A 26,394-nucleotide genomic window follows, 5' to 3' on the forward strand; every position below is an offset into this window, starting at 1 on the left:
GTTAATACAAGATTCACAATGCAATTATTTCTGGATGTCACTTGACTTTGAAAATGCCTGTATACTCTCAAGTTATGTATTTGGCAAACCGTGTATGATTCACATCACATTCAGTAGTGTGTGCTTACCCATTTTCAACTAAAACTTTGCCATCTTAATATTGGTATTTAGGTTCTAATTTAAGGAGAGACATAAGACCAAGGGTGCCCAACAGAAAACTGTAATTACAATGTATATTCCAATATTGAGCAGCCCAGAAATCAGTACCTTTAAAAAGAGTCATGTAGATTGGGCCCTCTCTTGCTTGAAAAGGCAACATTTTCCACAGACACAGAGTATACAAATGCTCCCCCTCCAAGCCCTCCTCCTTCCTGTTATCAAAATCTACTTATCTAAGTTCTGACACACATCCCATTTTCTCCCTGAAGCCTTCCTAAGCTATTGTGAAGCATGTAATCATTTTATGTACTGAATTGCCATAAGTACTATTAGTTACATTACTTTTTGGTTATTTTATTAACACATTCTTCTTCTTCTTACTATTATTACTGGTCTTCTCAGAGAAGGCAAGTTATTTGTTTTATTTTGGATGGAGGAGGGCATGCCTTATTTAATGTTTAGCAGAGAAGAAAGCTTAAAATAAGGGATGGATAAGAAGTCACTGGATGAACAGAAAGAGAAGAAAATGGCATGATGTGTAGCAAAGTGTTTTCTCTGGCTGAATATAAGTGGGAGACAGGCGATAGACGAATAGATGAAGAGTCAGAGTTGGCCTCTGAAATTGTGTGGTGAGTCTAGTGCAAACAAAAAGTGCCTATAAAAACTACTGTCTCAGTTCAGCACATGGAACTGAACGAGTCACCTACGGAGCACAAGGGAGAGATCAAGAGTTCTGTAGGAAGAGGTAGAGCCGGACATGGTGGTACGTGCTTGCAGTTCCAGCTACTCAGGAGGCTGAGGCAGGGTGGATCCCTTGGGTCCAGGGGTCCAGGATTGTAGTGCGCTATGCTCATCATGTGTCCTCACTAAGTTCAGCATCAATATGTGACCTCCTGGAAGCAGGGGACTGCTGGATTGCATAAGGAAGCGTGAACTGGCCCAGGTCAGCAATGAAGCAGGTCTGAACTCCCATGCTGATCAGTAGTGGGATGGTGTCTGGGAATAGCCACTGCACTCGAGACTGGGGCAACCTAGTGATATCCTGTAAAACATTTTTTTTTAAGAAGTATTAATAGAATGGTTCTCTCTTTGGACTACCAGACCAGAGTTAAAAGGGCAAAGATGAACACAGTACTTAATTGTGTATCACTTAGTAGCAGCTGCTGTTACACATTGGAGAATTTTCTTTATATTTGTGAAGAGTAATTTAATAACTGATTCTACAGTAGGCCATTTCAACCTCTCAGGGAATTAATGGTCATACCTGGAAATGCAGGCTTTAAATTATCAGCCTAGATGAATGGAATTATCAGAGCAGGCTTCTAGGAGAACACCTATTGAGTTATCCCAACTACTAGCTTTAGTGTCTGTGGTCTGTAAAAGCTGTCCCAAGCTAATAGGCTAGAATGATACTCCTCTCCTTTGAACTCCAACCTTTAAAGTTTCTGGAGAAGGTGGTAGACATGTAATGACATATGTTTTACCTTGCAATGTTTTCCCTGTGAGATTTTTTTTTTTAATGAGACAATGTTCACACAACATCAAATTAATCATTTTAAAGTGAGCTGTTTAATGGCAATTAGTAAGCTCAAAAAATTGTGTTCCCACTATATTTATCCACTTTTTAAAAACATTTTCATCATCCCGAAAGGAAACTCTATGCCAATTAAATAGTTGTTCCCCGTTTCTCCTTGCCCCCAGCCCATAGAATCCTCCAATCTGTGCTTTATCTCTGTAGATTTATCTGTTCTGGATAGTCTATCTAATGGAGTCATACAAGATACCTGGTTTCTTTTACTTAGCACAGGGGTTTTGTGGTTCATCCATATTGTAGTATTTTTCAATATTTCATTCCTGTTCATTGCTGGATAATAGTTCACTGTGTATACTATATTTTTATATTTATGCATCTGTTGATGGACATTTAGGTTGTTTCTCCTTTTGGTTGCTATGAATGGTGTGGCTATGAATATGAGTGTACACATATTCATTTGAGTAACAGTTTTCAATTACATGGATATATACTTAGATGTAGAATTGTGGGGCAATAGAGTAATTCCATATTTTAACTTTTGAGGAATTGCCAAATATTTTTTTATACTGGGTAAATAATTTTGCATTTCTACCAACAATATAGGAAGGTTCTAATTTCTCCACATTCTCATTAACACTACTTATTTTCCATTTAAAAATATTATAGCTACTCCTGTGAGTATGAAGTGGTACCTGATTGTGGTTCTGATTTACACTTTTCTAATGACTAATGATTTGGAACATTGATTATGTGCTATTTGCATAACTTTTCTGGAGAAATGTCTATTCAAGTCCTTTTCTGATTTTTAATCAGTTTGGTTGCTTTTTGTCGTTGGGTTGTAAGTGTTCTTTACATATTCCAGATGCAAGTTTCTTATCAGATACACACTGAAAAATAATACTACTGAATATAGAATTCTTGGTTGACATCCTTTTAAAAATTTTCTTTCAGAACTTTATATCATTCCATTCACTTTTTCCTACAGTAGTTGGTTCCCAAAGAGAAACCAGCTGCTAATCTTGAGAATCGTTTGTGCATGATGAGTCATTTCTTTCTTGCTGTTTTCAAGATCCTCTCTTTGTAGTTTCAGTTTGATTATAGTGTGTCTCAGTGTAGTTCTCTTAAAGTTATCTTTTCTGAAGTTTGTGAAGCTTCTTGTATGTGTAGATTCATGTATTTCCTCAAGTATGTCAGATTTGGGACCATTATTTCTTTAAATATTGTTTCTGTCCCTTACTCTCTTTCCCGTCTTCTCTGGGACTCCCATAATGCATATGTTTATGTACTTGATGCTGTCCCACAGGTCTCTTAGGCTCACTTCCCTTTTCTTTATACAAAAGAAAAGAGATAAAACTTTTTGATCCTGAGACTGGATATTTTTCTCTTCAGTTGTGCTTTTCAGCTCCAGAATTTTAATTGTTTTATTTTTAGTTTTCATAATTTCTATTTATTGATACCTCATTTTGCTCCTTCACCATTTTCCTGGTTTTCTTTAAATACTTTGTCCATGGCTTCTCTTAGCTCTTTTGATTTACTGAAGACAGCTAATTTAAAGTGTTGGTCTAGTAAGACCAATGTCTGGGCTTTCTCAAGGATAGGTTCTATTGATTCCCCACCCCCATCCCCCACCCCATAAATAGGCCACACTTTTCTGATTCTTTGTCTGCCCTGTACTTTTTTTATTTTTTAGTTCTGGAGTACATGTACAGGATGTGCAGGTTTGTTACAGAGGTAAACATGTGCTTTGTAGTTTGTTGAAAACTGAGCATTTTGAATATTTTAGCATTGTAACTTTAGAAATCAGGTTCTCTTTTCTCCAGGGTTTGTTTTTGATGTTTGATGGATGCAATGGTCCATTTGTTTAGTGACGTGTTCAAGCTATTTTATCAAGGACTATATTCCTTGTTGTGTGTGGTCAGTAATGTCTCTGTTCTGTTATTTCAGTGGTCAGTCAGTGACCTGACAGAGATTTCCTTAAATGTGTGGAGTCAAGTAAAAAATAAAAATAGGCTAGTTTTTGCCTCTTTGCTCTGAGCTAGGGACTTGGCTCTGGGCTATGGACTCCATTGCTAATCCAGACCATGTGTGACCTTGCCCTAATATGTGAAGCCCTTAGACCTATCAAAGGTAGAAGCCTCTAGTACTTTCAAGTGTTTTTCTGGGCATGAATCTGGTCTTAGTTGTACACATTGCACTTTGCCTTTCCAGTATATGGCATGGCCCTTCTAAGTCATTATTTCCCCCCAGTAATCTTCTTCCTTGAATTATTTCTTCCTGGGATCCTGGGTTCTGTCTGCCTCTCATCCCATTCATATCTCTTGCCCCAGCTGAGCACAAAGTATGTATGTCTTTAAGTCTTTTTGCCACCCAGAATGCCGCTTTAGCCCAGGGTGCAAGTTGATGTAGGGGAGTGCAAAACAAAAGTCAGCCTCTGTGTCAGTCCCTCAGGGAATGACCAGACAGGTCAAAATGCACAACCACAGTATTTTAAGAATAAGGGCTTCAATAGACGCTGACTTCGGCAAGTCAAACCAGGAATCTGGCCATCATCCCCACAATTGAAAGGGTTTGAAAACAAATGTGAATAATATCTACATGTGTTCCCCCAACCCCTTAGGAGAAAGCAAATAGGTAGTACTAAATTTGATGCTCAGTTATGTTGAGCTTCTTATGACTATTGTTAATGTACATCCAAATATGCTGTAAGGCATCATGCCAGGAAATTTAGATGTATTTTTACTCAGAACTGAAGTTGGAGTATTGAATTCTGCTGGAAAATAACGTGTAAAAAGGACCACCCTAAGAACATTTAATCTATGTTGTTTTTTTTTTCCTTCCTACATTGAATTGCTAGGTTCTGGACTGAAGGATCCCTGTTGTGGTAAATAATTTAACCCAGACTCACATAATTTGCTGTTTTGATAAGGATACACATTAGAAATAAACTTGAAAATCCAATAGAGCACATAAGCCTTTCAGGATGCTGTCTTACATTTTATTTATATTCTTCTAAGTATCGTATGTACAAAGCTGTTCAACTGCAAGAAAGAAAAGGAAAAAAAAAAGAAACTGACTTCTTACTGAGGAATTTTTTTTTTCTAGCCATGTTCCTATGAGAGTGTGTGGTACTTGCAAAATATAACAACTAATTATGTGGTCTCCGTTATAAATTTCCCACCATTATTTCAGATGAATATCCCTTGTTATCTTCAAAAGGTTACACAGCATTTGAAATTCAAAAGAAAGGTGTTACCTGCTATCTTGCATAAATCTCTAACAATTGCAAATGGAATATATTATCGTCAGATCCGATTGCTTATATCCATCCAATCTTGCCTTGGCCCAGCATTTGTAAAGGTAAATGCATGGTAACGTGCTTCTTATTTTCTTGGAATTTAAAATTGTGCATATAAATGAGAGTATCCCTCTTACACAATTTCTTGCAGATTGTTTTTTTCCATTACTGCTCTCATACCAAGTACATTACATTGAATGGTGAGAAAGGCTGAAAAACTTTATTAACTGTAACTTAAATATAACAGCACATTCTTTCTAAATGCAAGTGGGGGAAGATAAATATCAACTTTATTCCACTATTCAATGTAAGCCTTACAGATATATACGGTACTTGTTTGAATGCTCCTGGATTGTTTAAGGTCATTTGTATTGATTGACTATTGTGAAGTTTTACACTGTAATCTCCTTGTTTAAAGTTTTCCAGAATGTAAATCCATTGAGCCTATAATTTGCATATTATTAACAATATAGATTAGTATATTAGAATTACCTAAATCAATCTGATATGCATTTATTGAGTACCCACTCTTTACTCGTCACTGCAGTAGGTGCTAGAGGAATAGAAAGGCAACAGGGCCCTGTCCCTGTCAAGTTCACAGTTGAGTTAGAGATTGAATGAATAACCTTAAAATATTAATATCCCTTGGGTTGCAGCAAATATAACCTAAAGGGAATTCAGAAAACCACAGTGGTGAGTCCAACTCATATTCAGAATCACTTGGGGAGGTTTAACACAATAGAGATTGCTGACTCTGCTTTAGACTTACTGATATGGTTTGGCTTTGTGTCGCCACCCAAATCTCATCACGAATTGTAATCACCACCTGTCAAGGGAGGGAGGTGATTGGATCATGGGAGTGGTTCCCCCATACTGTTCTCATTACTGTGAGGGAGTTATCACAAGATCTGTTGGTTTTATAAGGGATGCTTTCCCCTTTGCTTTCTCTTCTCTCTCCTGCCACCATGTAAGATGTGCCTACTTCCCTTTCCACCATGATTGTAAGTTTCCTGAGGCCTTCCCAGCCATGCAGAACTGTGAGTCAATTAAACCTCCTTCCTTTATAAATTACCCAGTCTCAGGTAGTATCTTTATAGCCATATGACTAATACACTTACCAACCCCAGATATCTCAGAGTATTGCCCAAGAATATGCACTTTTAAAATGCTCCCTGGATGACGTTGGTGACTAGCCAGTTTGGGAACTGCCAGCAGATGACCTTTTATGTCCTCTGAAAGCTTTGGAGTCTAGAGTTCTATACTTGAATTAGAGAAGTTAAAAAGGAAGAAACTATGTGGAGGCACAAAGTGCATACATATTCAACTTTATTATTATTAAAATATGAAGTCTTCTTCTCAGCCTATCCCCAACCAAGTCGATGAAAATCTATGTTTTGGTAATATGCCTATCACCCACAAGAGGGCTCCCCTGAAAAAAAAAATCTCAACCAAAATATCTTAGTCTGTTAAATAAATCTTAGTATGTTTAGAACAACTTCACTGATCTATTTATTCATTGAAAAGCATATTTGCAATATATTCTGAACAGTTTTTTAACCGTATGTAGAGGGCCTTATGCTGAAGTATCAAGAAGACCAGTGATTTAGTTTGTAACTTTTAAGCATAAGGACAGGGGAGATTATTGTTTAAAAATTATCTTATAATATAATGTAACTTACAATATATGGTAAACAAAGACATCACCTTTATAGTCATGTACATATTCTAATTTTTCCTTAGAGCCCCAGTTTATATATAGCTCATTTATTTTCTTTACATTCTATCCTAGTGTACTCAGGTGCTTAACCAGTGTATAGACAGGGTATATTCCATGAGAGTGTTAAAATACTAACATTGCCATCAATGACCTACCTGAGGTGTCGGTAAGGCCATTGAGAGGGGGGATAATATTTTCTGAGAATCCAGATCTGGTCCTTGTCTTTGATTCCTTGGAACATCTGTCCAATACTTAATCTATTGGAAGTGCAAAGGTGCAGTCTACTTAGGGGCTAGGTAGCCTACCACAGAGATCTTTCATTGACAGATCATTTAGGATTCAATGTCCTAACAGTTTTACCCCACTCCCTCTCTCAGTTGGCTGCTCCAGTGTATACAGTAGTAAAAACAAACTGTTTCTTTTCCTAATATTCTCTCACTCAACACAACCCAGAGCACTTCTGACACCAGATGTGCATTTTGCTTTGTTTTGTTTCCCACACATCAATTCTCCAGCAGACAGCAACTGGGTGTTCTAACCTTCAGTTAAATTTTGACACAAGCTGTAGTTAGTGCAGACCCCACATGTTACGGACTCAGTCCCACATGACCCCCCTCACCTCAGATGCCAATTGCAAGTCTCAAATTGTCACCTGTGCTTTTGATCTACCAGCTATAAATCAGGAGTTTTCATTACCTCCTCTTTGGGTTTGATCATTTGCAAGAATGGCTCACAAAACTCAGGGAAACACTTACTTACACTTACTCGTTAATTATAAAGGATTACAACCAGAGCAAGCTTGGAAGTGGATTCTTCACCAGAGTCTTAGGTTAGAGCACAGCCTGGCAGACACCTTGTTTTTGGCCATGTGATAGCCAAAGTAGAAAACCCAATACATACTTACATAACTGGGAGATAATAAATGGTTATTGTTTAAGGTTACTGAGTTTGTGGTAACACATTATGCAGCAATAGAAAACTAATATTTTAGGCGTGAGCATGTTTTCACTATGACTAGCTTTTTTATTATATATTTTTGCTTGTCAGTTTCTTTACATGTGTATTCCAAAATTACAACTATGTCTAAAGAAGAGCAGTTCTGTCTTGTGTATGGATAGATGATACTCCTGCCTCCCCATCAAAGCACATTGACTGCATTTTGGGAGGTGGGAGTTACTGCACAATCCACCTGCCTCTCTTTGTCTTGCTTCTATGGAAACTGTAATTAACGTACATAATGGAGGTAGCTATAAAAATTCCAGAAGTCCATGGCCAAAATGCCCTGACTTTAGATTCAAATTTATATCCTAAATTTCTTCTTTGAAATCAGTCTGTGAAATGTACTTTTTAAATTCTTAGTTTTTATATTTTGGTATTTTCCATATGACTCTGGTACATTTGTGCCTCTTCCACTAGAAGAGTTGGTAATCTGCACAGTTTGTTTCTATTCAACTTATTTTTATTCTGTAGAATACTTGAAGTAGTTTTGAGAGCCTGCGAGGACAGTTCCATAAGTTTAATGCTTCCATAATAGACATTCCAGATGGCCTAACCATTTAGGACAGGAAATGCGGATCCCTGCCACAAGAATTTTTGGAAGTCCTGCCATTATCTCAGGATATGGCTGGGATGTGGGCCAGACCCCTGAAGGCTCAGACTTCTGCTAATACCTCTTTTTCCTTGCAGAGCTGCCAGAACTAGAGGAAACACTTTTATTTTTCCCCATCAGAATGAAGACACACTGTCAGCCTGAAACTTTTTGTAGTCTTAGGAGTCTAGTGTAGTGCAGCTGCCTTTTGACTGAAGCTGGTTCATATGTCTTCAAAATCCTCCCTCTCTTCAGTTCTTGCAAAGTATAACTTCTCCCTTGTGATCCTACTTCTGCCACAAGAATGAACAAGCACCACTTTGAACTTTTGACCTGGCATTTTCTGTGCACTTGAATCCATCTCATGCAGGGAGAATGGCCTTTGCCATCACTAACTTTCTCCTTCTCATCAACTGACTGGTATGATAGAACTGTCCCCCCTGGTATGCACCAACACAGCCAGGACAGGACTACCCGACAGACATTTAGACTTCCTTATTAGATACCAGGTAGAGCTTCACAAATCCCCAGACTCCTGAAGGGTTTGCCTAAACAGTCCTGGTCCACTGAGCCTCCCCTGCATCTGAGGCTCAAGCACCTTGCTAAGAGACTCCCTGGGTGGGCCATTTGTGAATTCTGCTTTTTAAACATCATCGGTGCTTTGGATTTAAAAAGCCTTGCTTTGCTCTTTCATAGAGTACAAAGAGGAAATAGGTTGTTTGACAGAGCGAACATCTTAAACAATCAGCATTGCCTTGCATATAGCAACTCAACCAGGGGACAGGGAATGAAATCCAGAGGGGGAAAGAAGAGGACTGGATGCTCTGAGGCTGCAAAAGTGAAGATGAAAGCTAGACAAGCTAGAACCTGGGACTGCCACACACACTTTCTTCTTTTGATAAGAGGGAGAGGAGAGTTTGCTTTCCTAATTTACAGGTTTTGAAACTGAGGTTCAGAGAGATTAGTTTTGCTTCTGAGTCTTAGGAGTTGAGTCTTAGGCGTGTTTGGTTAGATTATAATTGCCTATAAAGCGGAGGTATCTATTTTCTGTAGCTTCTATTTATCTTATTCAGTCAATTCAAGGTCTGCATTCAATCACCTGCCTGAGTTATAAATATTTTTAATGACCACTCACATTTTTCCCCATCTACCAAGAAGTCCCTTGGGTCATCATGCCATTTGAAGAGCATCAGTGTATGTGTCTCTTTTAATTGGAGCATTTAGCCCATTTACATTTAAGGCTAATATTGTTATGTGTGAATTTGATCCTGTCATTATGATGCTAGCTGGTTGTTTTATGTGTTAGTTGATGCAATTTCTTCATAGCGTCGATGGTCTTTACCATTTGGCATGTTTTTGCAGTGTCTGTTACCAGTTGTTCCTTTCCATGTTTAGTGCTTCCTTCATGAGCTCTTGTAAGGCAGGCCTGGTGGTGACAAAAATCTCTCAGAATTTGCTTGTCTGTAAAGGATGTTATTTCTTCTTCACTTATGAAGCTTAGTTTGGCTGGATATGAAATTCTGGGTTGAAAATTCTTTTCTTTAAGAATGTTGAATATTGGCCCCAGAAAACCAAACACTGCATGTTCTCACTCATAGTTGGGAATTGAACAATTAGAACACTTGGACATAGGGCAGGGAACATCACACACCAGGGCCTGTCGAGGGGTGGGGGGCTAGGATAGCATTAGGAGAAATACCTAATGTGAATGATGAGTTGATGGGTGCAGCAAACCAACATGGCACATGTATACCTATGTAACAAGCCTGCAAGTTGTGCACATGTACCCTATAACTTAAACTATAACAAAAAAAAAAAAAGAAAAAAGCATCAGTGGATGTACTTGAATACCTGTTGTTACCAGTGGAGTTAATTTAACATCATTGAGCATTTCCCACACCTAGACTTCATGGTGAATTCATTTTTGGTTACGCTATCTGCTGGAAGACTATATCCAGATTACTGTGTGTATGTTTTTGTCTCTGGATATTTTCTTAGGCTTTTGACTCTCAAGTCAAATTTTAGCCCTTCATCTTTTATTAAAACCTCTCAAAAGATCCTGCTACCTTCGTGAATAATTGTATGCAAAAGATATTTTGCTTAAGACCCATCAGTTCCAAAATCAAGTAAAGAGAATTCCTACTAACAGGTGACAAACACAAAGGAAAGATATTGAAAATAACCTATATTCCTGAAGTTAATTTTCAGATAGATAATTTAACCAAGGGTTCATGTTCTAATAGTAGTGATTAACTAGGGAAGAAGTAACAAACTGGCTTACATAATTTTGATTATGGCAAATTTATTTAGCACACCAGAGCCTCGACATTCCCAGCTGTAAATTGGGACCAATAATTTTGACCCCAGAGAATGGTTCTGAGGATTAAATAGGTGATGTATATGTAGCACTTTCCAAGGCATTTGCCACAGACTCATCATTCATTAAATACAAGTATCTATCACCTTAGTTCCCACACAAGCCCAAAGAACATCAACAATTCTTTCCTGTGCATCACCAGTGAACTGGGTGCTTGGATGAAAGAGAAAATACTGTATGAATGTCAAGAATTTTCAGTGTATTTAGGGACAAGGAGCAACACAGAAAAATAAAAACCTCTGGGTCAATTTCTGCCCCATTTGTCCAATGTGTAATTTCACCTCCCATTTCCAATAGGCAGTATTTTCTTATGCAAAGAGTAATTCCCAGTGGTGCAAAAAGGAGGTCAACCTGTGGACAACTTCATTTTTCCCCGTGAACCCCTGGCATTGACCACACTCCCCCAAGTTCTTCTGTGGTGAGTTAAGACCATCATGGATACCTTGCACGAAGCACGCAGTAGACACTGCTAGGGTTTTTATTATAGTACCTCTTTCACACATGATGATTTTTGTTGGTGTTTTTGTTAATGACAGAAAAGGAAAAAAAAATAATAGATTCTGGGACAGTTCCAAGGAAAGCTATTTGTTACTACAATTTTAATCATTCAGTTTCTCAATTAATGTTGTAATTCCTGAGGCTCACTTCTGGAACTTCCTCCCAAAGCAGACAGCTCCTCTGAAAACAGATACTCTCCTTCTCTCGGTTTTGGGTGGATTTCTGTAGTTTGCATGACTCTCTTCTGTATCAACAAATCAGTTGTACAGAATCCAGGGTCACCACAGGTAAGTAGGCTGAAACAGATAATAATGTGAAGGAATCAGTAAAATCAGTGATAAAGGAAGATTACTTTCCTGTTTTCTAGCTCTTCCTTTTCGTTTTTCTTTTCTGCTTATTAAAGTCTTTTAAGACTGCTGCTTTAGCCTTGATAATGTCCATTAGTGCAATACCCATTGAAAGTAACCATTAGAACATCAAAATAATAGAGAAGGTACTGTAAGACAACAGTCATTGAAAATTGGTTTCCTTTTCTTTCTAAAAATAAAAAAGTTTATAATATACACAAACTTCAACCACTCTCATGGAAATCATTCATGGATATTCACATAGAAGTTTTGGACAAGAAAGAGGGCATTGGTAGAGTCAGTTTTCACTGCATCTCTAGCTAATAAAAACAGAAAAATCAAAGTAAAATAGAATTATAGAAGTAATATCTATCACTTTGTATTTTTACTGGGTGCTAAGAATGATTCTGAGTGATTTATATTTACTAACTTTAAAAATTTTGTATGTAATATATATTCCATTTTATAAGTAAGGAAACAGACATGGCAAGGTTGAGTACTTGCCCAAGAATACACAGTGGAATATATGTAAGACTACAGAGCTAGGTTAGATATCTGTCCCTGGGCTAAATAAATACAGTTTGAAAATAATTATTTGGTTATGTGCAAACATGGAAAAGAATATCATTTCCTGCTATATCAAATGAGAATTAAGAATATGAGCTAGGACATGAGCTATTTAATACAGACTTGCAAGGACTCATGTGTGGTGCAAATTTAATTCAACATGTAAAATATGACCAAGTCAAGGTCACCAGAAAAAGACTGAATGCAGCCAGGCTCACCTACCCCACGCCCCTCCACCATCACTGGTGCACTAAATCTAGTAGTGTCTCATATCTGTGACAGGTCTTGCACTTGACTTCTTATTTTGCACTATGAGCTCTTTAAGAGAAGGAGCCATGAGCATCTTTCATACATTTTTCATCATTAAATTATGAGCTCCTTTAGATCAAAGAATATGCCTAGTCATCTTTCGCCTTCCCTTTCCACCGAATCCAGGCCTAGCAAAGTGTCTGAGTGGGGCATATGAAGCCGTCAGAAAATGGCAGATAAAATGTTGAATGCCTTTTATAGATTTGAAAATGTGAAAGATACATTGAAAACAATTTTCTGCTAAATCAAGGAGCATGGGAGGCACACGTGGAGAAACAACACTGAATTTTCTTCACCAAGATCTTCTGTCTACCCTGACTTACACTTCTGATTACAGTGAGCATAGTGGCTGTAAAAGTGGTCACAGTATATAAATATTTAGAGAAAACATGGAGAAAAATAAGTTGGAATGTGATTAATAGAGTTAACTATCTAATTATATAATAATGGAGCATTATGTTAAAAGTACTTCATTAAAAAAGGAAAAATTACCTATAATTAAATTTTAAATTTGATTGAAGAATGTTGAATTCATTACTGCATTGAGGATCTCCCAGGATCATTTCCTTCTTCTATTAATTCTGTTTCTTTGAGGTTAAGCCTCAAACTAAAAACAAAATCTGTAAACATTTTTTAAATTTTAACATAAATTTGTATTTTAAAATAAGCCTTAACCAAAGGCAGAGACAGCTACCTAAAAAAATTACGATGTTAGAGGATAAAAAATGTGTTCATTGCTATGCAGTGCTAAGGCTAAGAGCTGAGTGACCTCAGTAGGCACAGCTCTATTTGTTATCATCTCCCTTTAAAATGGGGAAGTATGGGAATAAATGCCAAATACCATACTTGAGAGAGTAGAGATACTCCAGCAACCCCTGAGAAAATTGAAGAGCATGAAAAAAGGATAGCCCTTATCCTTGAGTGAATACTCATTTGTAGTAACTCTGTAAACCTAGATGAGATGTACTATGCAGTTGAACCTCTGGATTATTTACTAATATCCAGATTTCTCACTAAACTGCTTCATTATAGCCTATTGAGAATTGGTGAATAAGTAAACATTGCATCCACAGTTATATTGGTGGAGGCACCCATCACCACCAAGGGGGAAGAACAGGAGTCAAAAGAGCTACACGTCATTCCCAACTCTCCTGTGATTGGCTTGGCCAATGTGCCACCTCTTCACTGGCACTTCGTCTACAACAAGGAGGCTAGTTTTACTTCAGTGTTCATTTCACAGGGTTGCTGTGGCTGCCAAATGAGTCACGTGTATGACACTCTATCTTAGGAACCATAAGGTATTATCCAAGCACCAGTTAACAGATCAACAAAGCCTAAATGATAGCTGCGTTGTCCTGGACACCAGGATTCCAGCTACCTGATGTGGATCCCTTCCAAATGCTTAAGACACGAGGTACATGTAATGTTTTTCATAATTCCAATTGCCATCAAGAATTATCGATGACTTAGAGAGAACATTGATTTTTTTCTGGTGGTGTTTACATGCATTCTTTCTGCAGCCATTAGTGGTCCTCATAGAATTGATAGCTTTTTGAACCGTGACAATGAGATTATCGATTCCTGAAAGGGCCCTAATCTAGGAAAACTTTTTAAATGTTTGCTATTGGCTTTTATTAACATATAATGTAGCAACAAGATTGAAAAATTCAAGTATTGTGTGATTGCCTGGAAATCTCAAAGTAAAAATCAATGTAGTTAATCTATTTAATAAATCATGAAACACATACGCACATGCGCACGTGCAGACACACACATACCCCCACACAGGGAAAGTCTGCTAAGATTCATTATTAAGAAGGTAATTTTGTGTGAACAATTTGCTTTGCCAGCTAGCTTTCCAGCTAATTTCTTGCCCTTGTGTGCCCAGCCATCTTAGATGGAATCTAACATGCCAACCTTTATTGGACTCCATTACGGCCTCTCCATGCCCATTTCTGACCACAATTCCCCTGCCTGGTCACATAAAGGCTCCAAATCCCCCAATCTCTTTGTTCTATATCCTCTTTTTATAATAAGCCAGCAGATTGAAATACACTCTTAATTGGGTCTTCATAATTCAGCATGAAGTATGCATTCTACCATCAGGCAAGAGATAGAAGCTGTGATATCTTCACAAACACCAGCTTAGTGATGGCTTGTAATATCCAGGGCACTGGGCATGGAAAAGTCAGATACAATAATTTAGAAAACCAAGATAATTAACATTTAAATGTCCAAAGTGATAGTGAATCAGACACAAAGTGCTACAGGGCACAGCTTGCTTAACCACAAAATTAACAACCAAAAGAGTGACCCACAGGTATCTCACGCCCTCCAGCAAACACTTTTAATTACCAGAAGCTAGTCCGCCTTTTTTTCTTCAGATTTAAAGAGAGTGAACAATGTACCCTTAAATAGTAATATATTGTTTTTTTTTTTTAAAAAAAAAGATATAGGCAAGAGAAATTAAAACGTAGCACAGACAATAATCTATTTGCAGTGAGGAAAATCTCCCAAGTAATAATTTTGGAATTCCTACTAAGTTATCTAAAGAAGGAGAAAAATTCAATTCTATTTCTCTTTAAAAGTCTATTATTTTTAGTCCTATGGAAAACAATGAAATATACTATTAAGGCAGATAAATCTGGGTGTCCCTTGGTGATAATAGAGCCACAGGGGGGAAAAAAAACAGGGCAAGAAAATGGGATCATTTTTCTATCCAAATTTCAAAATGGGTGGCTAAAGGGTAAGCAGTGATTATAATGCTCTGATTTTTCAGAAAAGCCTATTGAGGCAATCTTCAAAGTCGTAGGGAGTTAATCTGAGCTTTGGGCATATCATTAATAAGAAGATAAGAAGGTATCCACCAAGCAGCTTTATCTATTTATCAGGCAAGGCAATGTCTCTGGAGGCTTTACTAATACATGCACACTCCCATAGAACATATAATTTGGAATATTAGCAATCTGGTGAAGGAGTGATTAAAGGCTGCAGTCTCCAGAGTATACAGGTGTTGTCCAACTTGGCCTAGAGAGTGCTAAGGCAAATACAACATTGCCCTTGTAGGAGACCATCTTTCCCCTACCCTGATACACATATACACAAATACACACACATGCCCCATACACACAGACACACTCTATATACAGTACACGCGATACTTACTGTGAAGAGGAAGAAGAGGCATGGGTTTTGCAGGTAGGTTCAAATGCTAGGTTTTGTGCATGGACACATTATTATTATTATTATTATACTTTAAGTTCTGGGATACATGTGTAGAACATGCAGGTTTGTTACATAGGTATACACGTGCCATGGTTATTGGCTGCACCCATCAACCCGTCATCTACATTAGGTATTTCTCTTAATGCTATCCGTCCCCTAGCCCCTCACCCCCGACAGTCCCCAGTGTGTGATGTTCCCCTCCCTGATGGACATATTTTTTAGTCCTCCCCTATCAAGCATCCCACCGCCACCATTCCTGTAGAACACAGGAAGTTGTAAAGCCATCTGCGGCCTACCCTTGGTGCTATCTTTGCACAAGTATCTATCAGCCACAGATTAGCTGAAGGTAAAGTTTAACCTTCCTTGTAGTTAGAATGGAGGCTTAATTGGGTATGTGGGGCATAGCCTAGACTACACACACGTTAGAAAGGATGACGGCTTTCTGAGATGAAGTGAGATCCTAGTGAATGATAAAGTCCCTGAGAAGACCTTCGCCCTTGCACCCAGGTTCTTTCCTTCTGTTTCCCCCAAATGCCTGAAATTCGATCATTAAAATAGCTTTCTTTGAGTGGTACATTGTGCAACAAGAGGAACAATAAGGCATATTCTTAACAAGCTACCAAGTTACTCTATGAAAAAAATTTCTGTTTACAGAGGCAACAAAGACCAGGATGAGTTCAGTCAGAGCTGTGACCTGAAGGGTTCCTTATCTGCCACAAACTAGAATTAATTTTGTAATAAAAATTATTATGAACACATTGTGTAGTAATTTTCAAAGTGTTCCTTGCTTTTCTTATCATACTTAATCCTCACAGCACCTTATAGGTATGGTTTTACTTATTTTGCAGGTAAAGCAAGTAAAACTCAAAGTGTAGGGGATTTGCTTTAAATAACTCAGCTTATTGATGACAAAGCCAAAAATGAGACTCAGATATTTTGATTCTTAATCTAATGTTATTCTCAGTAATCCCAGAAATGATGATTAGGAGACTTACATTCTAGTTCTGGATCTGATTCTAGATCACTCCCTGGCTTTGGACTAATCACTTACCCAGTCTATGATTCTTTCCATCTTGAACAAGAATAGTCTGAAGTAGACGATTACCTCATTTGATTTTTCTTTCAAATTTGCATTTAGGAACATATATCATACCCAGAAACTGAAATCAATCCTTTCACACTCTGATTTATCTGAAGGCAGTGGGTATGTTGTAACAGGAATCAAAGACTAAAATTCAGGAGATGCAATTTCTAGGGGAGGATGTCAGGTACTTGCAGCTCATCAGGGATTAATAATTAGTGAATATTACATTTTAAATTACCCTGGAAATTTGGAAATCATATGAGCAATTTATTTTGGGGAGGCAATACACAATGTAAACATTTTATTTATATACTGAGTTACTAATTATAAGAATTTGAGCAAGACATTTAAAATCATATATTACTGTAAGAGACGCACAGTGAGTGAGATTCAACAATGAAAGTAATGAATAAGATCCGTGGTACAGGTATGCATAAAGTGCTTTGAGATTTCTCTGTAAGGACTTGCCAGAAATTTTAGAAAAAGAGCTAATGCTTGAATTAGATATAAAATTATCAGAAGTATTTTCAAATTAGATGTAGATGTGGAACTGGGAACCTCTAGGTAGAAGAAATAGCATATACCAATGCATGGAAAATACGTATAGCCATAGCTTAGAGCAAAGACTTAAAAACCTCAAAAGGTGATTCTAGAAAAGCGTGTTAGGATTTGGTTGTAAGATATTTTCTTGCTATGCAAGAGAGTTTTGTAGTTATCCTATAGGCAACAGGGAGCTAGTAGGGCTTAAAATAACACGCATTTTACTTAAAAGCAAATAAGCTTTCCATAGAGTTCATTCTTTTGTCAACATGTCTGCAGTTTCTCAAGTCTAGGTCATGTCATCTTCTGGAAACAGAGACAGATAATTTAACACAATGAACACTGTCAGTCGTCTCAACCATCCGGGCCTGAATAATCGAAGAATGCAAGGATTCACATATATGACTTTGAGCCCAACTGCTGAATTTCCCTCGACAGTTATTTTGTCAATAAGAAAATAGTGCAAATATGACCAATGAGAGGGAAAATAATCAGTAACACAATTAAGGAGATAATTTTTAGGAAATGAAGGAAATGCCAAACATGAAAGTGTTGAAAAAATTTTAGGAATTAGGGATTCTCAAGGATTGGTTTTACTGACTTATTGTCAATTTGTAATACTCTAAATAATAGACAAAATCAAATCTACAACACAGAGTAGAAATCGTTTGGTGACTCAGTGCCTTCGGTATCAGAGATTTAAAGTCCTTGGAATTTTATTTTTAGAAGACTGAAGACCAGGCAGCCTCAGAAATGGCCAATTATAAATGGAAGAGTGTAGAATTGAATCATTCTCCAGGAAAAAGAATTTGATCTCTCTAGAGTCAGGCAATTCTCTATTGAGTCACCCCTTGCATCAGAGGCTCTATAAACAGCTCTGGAACTTTCTTCATGCAGTGGCCATTGGCTCCTGCTAAAAGAGTCCTCCACTCCCTCTGGATCCATAGAGGAATGACTAAATGAGTCATTTTAATTTTAAAATGAGTGCCAATATTTCAGCTTGAAGTCATAACCATGTGTAAAGTATGGGGGGGCAGAATTCTATTATTCTATTGATTTCTTACATCCTTCCTGAGGCTTAGCAATTTAAGAATTTTCAATTGTCTTGTAAGGTCATACTCCTGGAGGGTGCAAAAGACACCAGGGAATCCATGAATGGTGCAAGGATCTAGAGCAGGCAAGGACCATGAAGGTGGGAAGATGCAGGAGGGTTGGGAATCACTCACACTTCAGCACTACCATATGCTCCCCTTTCTAGATGAAGAATGAATCATAAAAAACAGTGTGACTGACCCAGGTTCTCTCTCTAACTGCAGCTAGTCTCTTGCCAATTCTTCCCATGCTAATTTCTTGAAAGGTCTTCTACCCTCTTTCCAGTTTCCCCTCCTTCCACTCACTGCTCAGTGTACCTTGCAAGGTTACAGATGATCTTCATATTGCTAAAGCCAATAAACTTTTAACATTCCTTATCTTACTGGACCTTCTTGTACCACTTGATATTATGCCTTCCTCTTTTTGATTTATGATAATCATAATAATAGAATTATAGCTAATATTATAATTAAATATTTACCAGGAAGTATGCTACTAAATATGCATTAACACTCCTCTTTTTGTTCAGAAATGCAAATTTGTCAAATTTCTTGGTCAACAGGCTAGGGCACGTATATTCTATGGTGGGAGTTCAGTGAAGAGTCCATATGGGGCTTTGTATACCTGGGGACCCCCTCAGTTTCCCAGAGATCCTGTTAAAGAGTACTGAGATGGTTTGTCTGTGTCCCCACCCAGATGTCATCTTGAACTGTAGCTCCCATAACCCCAGTGTGTGGTGGGAGGAAACCAGTGAGAGGTAATTGAATCATGGGGGCAGGTCTTTCCCGTGCTGTTCTCATGACAGTGAATAAAAGTCTCATGAGATCTGATGGTTTTATAAAGGGCAGTTGTTCCCCTGCACACATTCTCTTGCCTGTTGCCATGTAAGACACGCCTTGACTCCTTCACCTTCTGCCATGATTGTGAGGCCTTGCCAGCCATGTGGAACTGTGAGTCTATGAAACCTCCTTTTCTTTATAAATTACTCAGTCTCAGGTATTTCTTCATAGCGAACGGATTTCAAGTTAGACTAACACAGGTACCACTGATCCCACACCCTGCCTGCTGATACTGAGGCTCTGATCTTACTCCTTGCAGGATGGCATTGGGTAGATGGAAGAGACCCCCAGTAAAGTCCTTGGAGAAATAGGGACTAACTTATCAGGCAATAAAGGACACAGGAATGCTGTGAAACACCCATGGCCTCAGACTTATGTGGTATCTGCCTGTCTTCCTCCCCCATTCTGCTTCTCTGTTTGATGATCTTTGCTCTGAGTTCCTGTGACTACACAAAGAACAGGGGAAGCTAAGACCATAATGGCAACAGTTTCCATGAAACTTCACTTGCATTCCAGGGAGCGAGTGCCATACAGATAGTCCCAGGGTGAATCGACAGGGCATAAAGAAAACAGAAATGGATCATGTTTGTTGATGTTGAGTGGCCACCAACAGAAAAGAATGTATTAATTGATACAGCATAACAAATGACTATGTTCTTTGGTCTGGTACAGACACACAGCCAGAGCCCCAAACCTAGGAGACCATCGTGAAACCACATACAGTTCCCCACATGCTCTGGGGCATCCCTGTGTCATTAAGGTGGTTTCTTTGTAGTTTTTATTAGCATGGATAATAACTCACTCATGTGTTTCTTATATCCTTTATGCAATCTGTTTCATGTTTTCTCTGACTTGGTCTCTAAAGGTATTTAGTGAAAATATCTTCAAGTCCAACCGAAATAGAATTTCATCAGATTTATTTCTATTTATTTAAGGATATTAGTTATCCAGAATAGTAATATATTCCCTCTCTACATTCATGTATCAATATGACCATATTATTTTTTCTTCAATTTTTTATTTATAGCAGAAAAACAATGAGTTCAAGAAAACTAACTTTGCTGAAAGTACCATAAGTCTTTCTTTCTCCTGGCTCTTGAAATGTCTATTTTCCAAGATTACCCTTTGAGGAGTCTACATCCTGCTCAGTACAAGTGTGGTGCAATAAGCTAAGGTCTCAAAATGGTCAACATGGATAAATAAGCACTTTCTTGTTTGATCATCTCTAGTGTGTTATGCCTGGATCTATAAATTTCACGTGGTTTATCTCATTGAATCTTCACACTATGTGAGGTTAATATTATCACGCCTATTTTATAAATAAGAAAACTGAGCTCAGAGAAATTAAAATTTCTAAGACCATGCAGATTATAAGAGGTAGAATCAGGGTTTACACTCATGTATATTTTACTCTGAAGCTTTTGTCCTTTATTCTGTATGAGGCTGTCTCTGCCTTCCTATCTATCTCCATTGCTGATATATGAGTTTAGGACCTCATGGTTCAGCTGGAGGGCAGGGGGATGGATGCTTCGTGAATTAGGCACAAACAAAAAGATAATTATTAGCTGGGCAGAACACCCCATGTGGTATTCTGCATGGTAAAATAATCCAAGTGAGTAGTAGTACTGAGAAACACGGGAGGGCTTTGGGAAGTGGGTGGGCAAGGAGTTAGTTAGGAGGGTTGAACAGAACCTATTGAACCTAGCTGTTTCCTTTGTGATCAGTATATGATTATTAAATGAGTTAATAAAAGAATGATTACAGAGAGATACCTGATCATGATCATTGGGTATTTACCAAATTCTTGAGCTTTGTAAAAAACATTGCAGGCTTACCCTCAAATCTGAATGAAAAATATGACAATGGTGTTAAAAAAAAGTAGCCCTAGGATTATCATTTGCACTAGTTCTTAAACTTGGCTGCCTTTTGGAATTATCTAGGCTGTTTCAAACAGATTTTCAGACCAGGCCTTAATCTATTCCAATTATATAGAAATCTCTGGTGGGACCCAAACACCAGTAATTTTTAAAGTAATCTAGGTGATTCCAATATGGAACCAACTTTGAGATTGTAATAGATGTCTGTCTTTCACCATAGCGCATGGTATGGAGTGTCCTGTGGTAAGGGCTATAACCTCATATTGGATAGAGACTTGTTTGGGGATCTGAAAACTAAAGAATTTGGACAAAGTTGACTTTTACCAAAGTATGTGAAATCCTAGTTCTATGACATAGTAGTAAGAATTAAATATAGAAAAAAATAGGGCCCAGCCGGGCACAATGGCTCATGCCTATAATCCCAGCACTTTGGAAGGCCAAGTTGGGAGAATCATTTGAGGTCAGGAGTTTGAGACCAGCCTGGCCAACATTGTTGAATGCTGTCCCTACTAAAAATACAAAAATTAGCTGGGCGTGGTGGCACACACCTGTAATCCCAGTTACTTGGGAGGCTGAGGCATGAGAATCACTTGATCCTGGAAGGTGGAGGTTGCAGCGAGCCAAGATCATGACACTGCACTCCAGCCTGAGCAACAGAGTGAGACTCTGCAAAAAAAAAGAAAAGAAAAAAAACAGGGCTTATTTTCAAATACATTTGGAAAATACTGGGTTAACCACACAGGTGTCCTTTTTTTTTTTTTCCTATTGCTATTTTGTTATTGTTTTTAACTTAGACCATTTCAGAGCCTTTAAAATTCGTACATGCACTGTAACTATCAAAAAGAGAGTCTAGTATGTATAGCTTTCTAAATGCATTCACTATATGTATTTGAACTAGTGTTTCGTGAATAACAACAAAAAGATTAATAAAACCAATCACAGCTTATTGAGGTCTAGGTAGTCTATGAGTTACTTTAAATATATTACATTGTTTAGTTTGAGCCACAGAACAATAGTATGATTATATCTTACCATACCTATTTTATGGATGAAGAAATTGATGTTTTAGTGGTTCAGTAATTTGCTCAAGTTTACACAATAATTGACAAAGCTGGAATTCAAATTAGATATTATAATTCTTGGTCCTATAACATTTCTTTGTATTAAAAGTGTCTATAAATATTTTCTGTAAAGTCCTCCGCACAATAGATTTGGCCTAACAAGCAATTATTATACTCTAGCAATACTGACCATTTTCAAGTAATTTCCATTCTTTTAGGCACTGCAATGTTGGAGTGAAATTTTCCCATGAAAAACTCTCTGGATTGTGCTTATTGGACTAAATATACTTTATGTGCATTGCAGAATAATTGCCCACAATCACCTTGAGCCCAGTTTTCACGCCCCTAAGGAACCCACCACTCCTACCCATGCCTCACATGGCTTACATCCCTTCTCCTGCCTCTCAGAGCTCTTAAGTTCTTAGGTGATGTCTTCAAACAAACAAGCTCTTGTGGCACTGACTTTTTTTCAATGATTGACTGTGCAGGGTACCATGGGAATATGCATGAAAGCTTAATTATATTTCCTGCCTCGCTGAGTGAATGTTGGATAGAAAGATGGCTCTGCTCCGCCTGTAGTGTAAAACATCACAGAGATCAGATCGGTTCCCCAGTATTTGCACATGGCTGATAATCAGCTCTCCACATAAACAGGCAGACAGATGAAGTCAGTTATCTGAAAAGGTGTCCATGTCCTGTTAGCATCTGTAGCTGTCTTGACTTTACACTCTCATTGCAAACTCAACAGCAGGCTGAGCAAGCCAGAGCCTCTCCAGATCAGGACAAGTCAGTGGTGTCACCTGGAAATAGTCAATACAACACTTCATTATTCTGGAATCACAAGAGAATCAATTCCCACCATGAGCATCTTTGTCAGATAACTTATGCTTTTAAGTACCCGAGCATTAAGCACATTCATATTTTTCAGATCAAAAACCTCAATATGCACAAAATGCTTTCCTGATGCAGCACTTGTTTACTGAGCACTAACTAACTGTGTTCCAATGACAACTACCGAAGACAAAAATAAAGATTAAAAAAATAGATGTTACGTGAACACTCAAGAGTATTTCCTTTGGATAAAGCACAGATGTTAATTCACAGACGTCAGTGTTACAACCATTCCGACTGTTCCAAAGAGCTTTGTCTTTTCTCTCTGATTCTTGGCTCTGGTGCTGATAGGTTAGGCTGTTGGAGAAGTGACCCCAAGATAGAAGAGTTGTTTTTGTAAATACACTGCCATGATCATTCCTTAGGAGCCAACCATATGCATAGCACACTTTAGTCACTGGTAATCCTACATTAAATGAAACAAAATGCCTTTCCTTTTAGCAGGAGAGACACAGCTAATCAAATCCTAGATAAAGCTTATGCAGAGGGCAGTGGGAACATCAGAACTACATCTACATTCAAATAGTCATATGTTTATTCAATTTCCAGGTATTCTGCAGGGGCAGAATGGTACACTGCAAGTGGAATCAAATTAAGAGAGGTCCACAGAACCCTCTGATATGCTCCTACTTCAATTAGTGAAACTTCTTCTATCTCAGAAGGAACTGACATCATTTCTATTCAGTTGTATGTTCACCAGCCTCCTTAATGCAGCGCCAGGGATTAAATGTTTCCCAATAGACAATGCAGGTGTCACTTCTGAGAAACGTGCACACTCTGTTAACACTAAAGGTGGCAGCCAATTCTGGAACTATAATTGGAGCTATTTTTCTCCATTCCAGTTGCACGATTTCTCTTTCTCTTCAGTGATTTTCCTAACTTTATAAGTGAATACAAAGGCTCAGCTTCATGCTGCAGCAATGATATTTGCTTAATCCATTTAGCCATCTGTAAAGCAGGGGTAATACACTCTATCAATCAGCTCATCAGTTATGTGTGTCTTTGTGTGAGTGCACCAGCATAATGCAGATATTACATCCAATGAAGCCCACCCGAAAGCATATTTGTGTTTACTTAAAGATTTAAATAATACAGGGCAAAAGTGTGGCTTTTGAGTCTAGTCTAACTCTCAAAGCTAGATAGTCTCATTGCCCGTTTTGCACATAACTGTGGTCATTGGTCTTTAATTTTTATTCTAGCTTTATGATGACATATGCTTAATCCCAGCACTTTGGGAGGCCGAAGCAGGTGGATCACCTGAGGTCAGGAGTTTGAGACCAGCCTGACCAAAATGGAGAAATCCCATCTCTACTAAAAATACAAAATTAGCTGGGGGTGGTGGTGCATTCCTGTAATCCCAGTTACTCGGGAGGCTGAGGCAGGAGAATCACTTGAACCCAGTAATTCCGTGGGCCGTGAGCTGAGATCACGCCATTGCACTCCAGTCCAGGCAACAAGAGTGAAACTCCATCTCGAAAGAAAGAAAAGTGTTATACTATATGCAATTCTAGAATTTGCTTTAGCCAAATTCAAATTCTGTGTAGTGTTAACTCATTTGTTTTTCAGTAAGTTCTTTATTAACAGCCAAATCCCTTGATTATGGCACTTCTGTGAACTTCCTTGATAATCTTACTTACAAGTCACATAATGCCTGAACACATTTCTCTGAAATGTTGTTGAGATAAAAGAGTTGACCGTGACGGTAATTAACTTCTAAATAAATATTAAAATGAGAGGGCATTGTAAATACCCCCAGTGCAACGGTTACATGACTGAGTTTTTAGGACGTTAGGCAGCCAGTCTGTCACCATCTGAGCTGAGGGTAGCTCTGCCACTGATTTTGGAAGATGTTCCTTTATACTATTTAGCCTATTTAGCCTCTTCTTTTAGTTCTCGGTTTTAGCTAAAACACATATTTTATAGCTTGCCTCTCACACATTTGGCCACTTCCCCATATGCTCTCCTGTCCAATTCTCCACAGCTTACATGCATATCTAAATTCTCCCTAGGTAGGGACTAAATTGAATGCTTTCCTTTTCCCACCTCCCACCCCATCGTGGTGGATCCTTGCACACAGCCGGCTGAAAATCCAATTGGTGCTCCACATGTCTGTGTTGAATTGAGGTTCATTTGCTCACAAGATATTCATCTCAAATCTGTCAAACAAAAACTGTGAAAGTGCCGTGTGATTGGCTGAGGCTGTCTGTGCCATAGGAAAGCAGAAATCACACCAGCACAAGTGCCAAGTCTGGCAACCGACTGACGACAGGGTTGAAATACTAGCTCCGACACAGATTAGAAGTAACTTTGGACAGGTTACTTAAAATCCCTAAGCCTTAATTTCCTCACATGTGACATGTGGAGCACACAGCACTTTTGTGACAGAGACATTGCAATTATTAAATGGCATAACACAAGTAAAGTGCTTCACCTAGGGCTTAGCAAGTGGTCAACCATTGGCAGCTATTACAAATTTTATTAGGAGTTCAGATGAAACATCTCTGAGTTATGGTGCTTTGGGGAAGATTCCTGCAAATGGCAAATAGGGAGCAGCGTCAGGAACCAAGATGTACCTGCATATTTTGACGTTTTAAAAATGGTAACAGCAGTAAAAGTGATGTGGCTGGAGCTGGATTCTCAAGGGAATCTTGTCTTTAGCTCTGGGGGTAATGAACTGCTGTTTCTCTCTGCCCCTCCCCATAACCTGCACCCATCTCTTGGAGGACAGGTGCAGCAGTGGATGACCAGCACTGCACCCTGCCTGTTGTTACTTTTGTTACCCCTGTGTCAGTGGGTGGCTCAAGAATCCTAAAACCCTGTTGGAAGAGGAAGTCAACTCAAAAACTTTCTGAACTGGGCAAGTACAAGAAACATGAGCATACATGAGGTCAAAATGCAGAGTAAAGGCAACTAAAATATAAAAAGATGAGATCCAGGAGTAACAAGGCAGATGGAGTGAAAACTTCCTGGATGCATTGTGGAAATGACGGCATGCAATGACAGTTTGATGCTGCCTTGTTCCTAGGTATGGGTGGTGGGGGATAGATCAAGAGTATGTAAAAGGGTAGACCTTAGTCTGCACCTTTGAACCTCTCTGACCTCACAGGTCAGGCAATTTAAGAGTAATCTGCTTGTGAAACTTTAATCAGCTTAAATGGTGTGTGTGTGTGGTTTATTTGAACATTGTGATGCTGAATATCAGACAAATAGAATTGGCAAGAGGTCACAGGGCCTCCTCTGTCTTGTTGAATAATTGCTTAATTAAGCCAAAGTAGGATATGCTGGAACAAATAAACACGTAGATATTTCACTGGGCATTCACTGGGCAATGTAGCATGCAGAGGAAGGGGAACACTGTGGCGGAGAGACCTCCGTGCTGTCTGAGAGGTTGTCC

At 38.4% G+C, this 26,394-nt stretch overlaps 1 long non-coding RNA gene and 1 pseudogene across 2 annotated transcripts in view; one reads left to right on the plus strand and one right to left on the minus strand.

The window, feature by feature from the left end:
- RN7SL117P (RNA, 7SL, cytoplasmic 117, pseudogene) lies at positions 910-1,205 on the plus strand (annotated as a pseudogene).
- LOC124908056 (uncharacterized) overlaps positions 11,135-26,394 on the minus strand; it is a 32,435-nt gene continuing 17,175 nt past the window's right edge. Inside the window, exons 1-2 of one of the 2 annotated variants that reach the window (XR_007088664.1) lie at positions 12,884-14,638; positions 11,135-11,464 (exon numbers count right to left, since the gene is read on the minus strand). This is a non-coding gene — a long non-coding RNA (uncharacterized LOC124908056). Of the gene's footprint in view, positions 11,465-12,883; positions 14,639-26,394 lie in introns of those variants that run through there. The other variant, XR_007088663.1, reaches the window with a different exon arrangement.

Source organism: Homo sapiens, chromosome 2 (assembly GCF_000001405.40).
Source record: "Homo sapiens chromosome 2, GRCh38.p14 Primary Assembly".
NCBI lineage: Eukaryota > Metazoa > Chordata > Mammalia > Primates > Hominidae > Homo > Homo sapiens.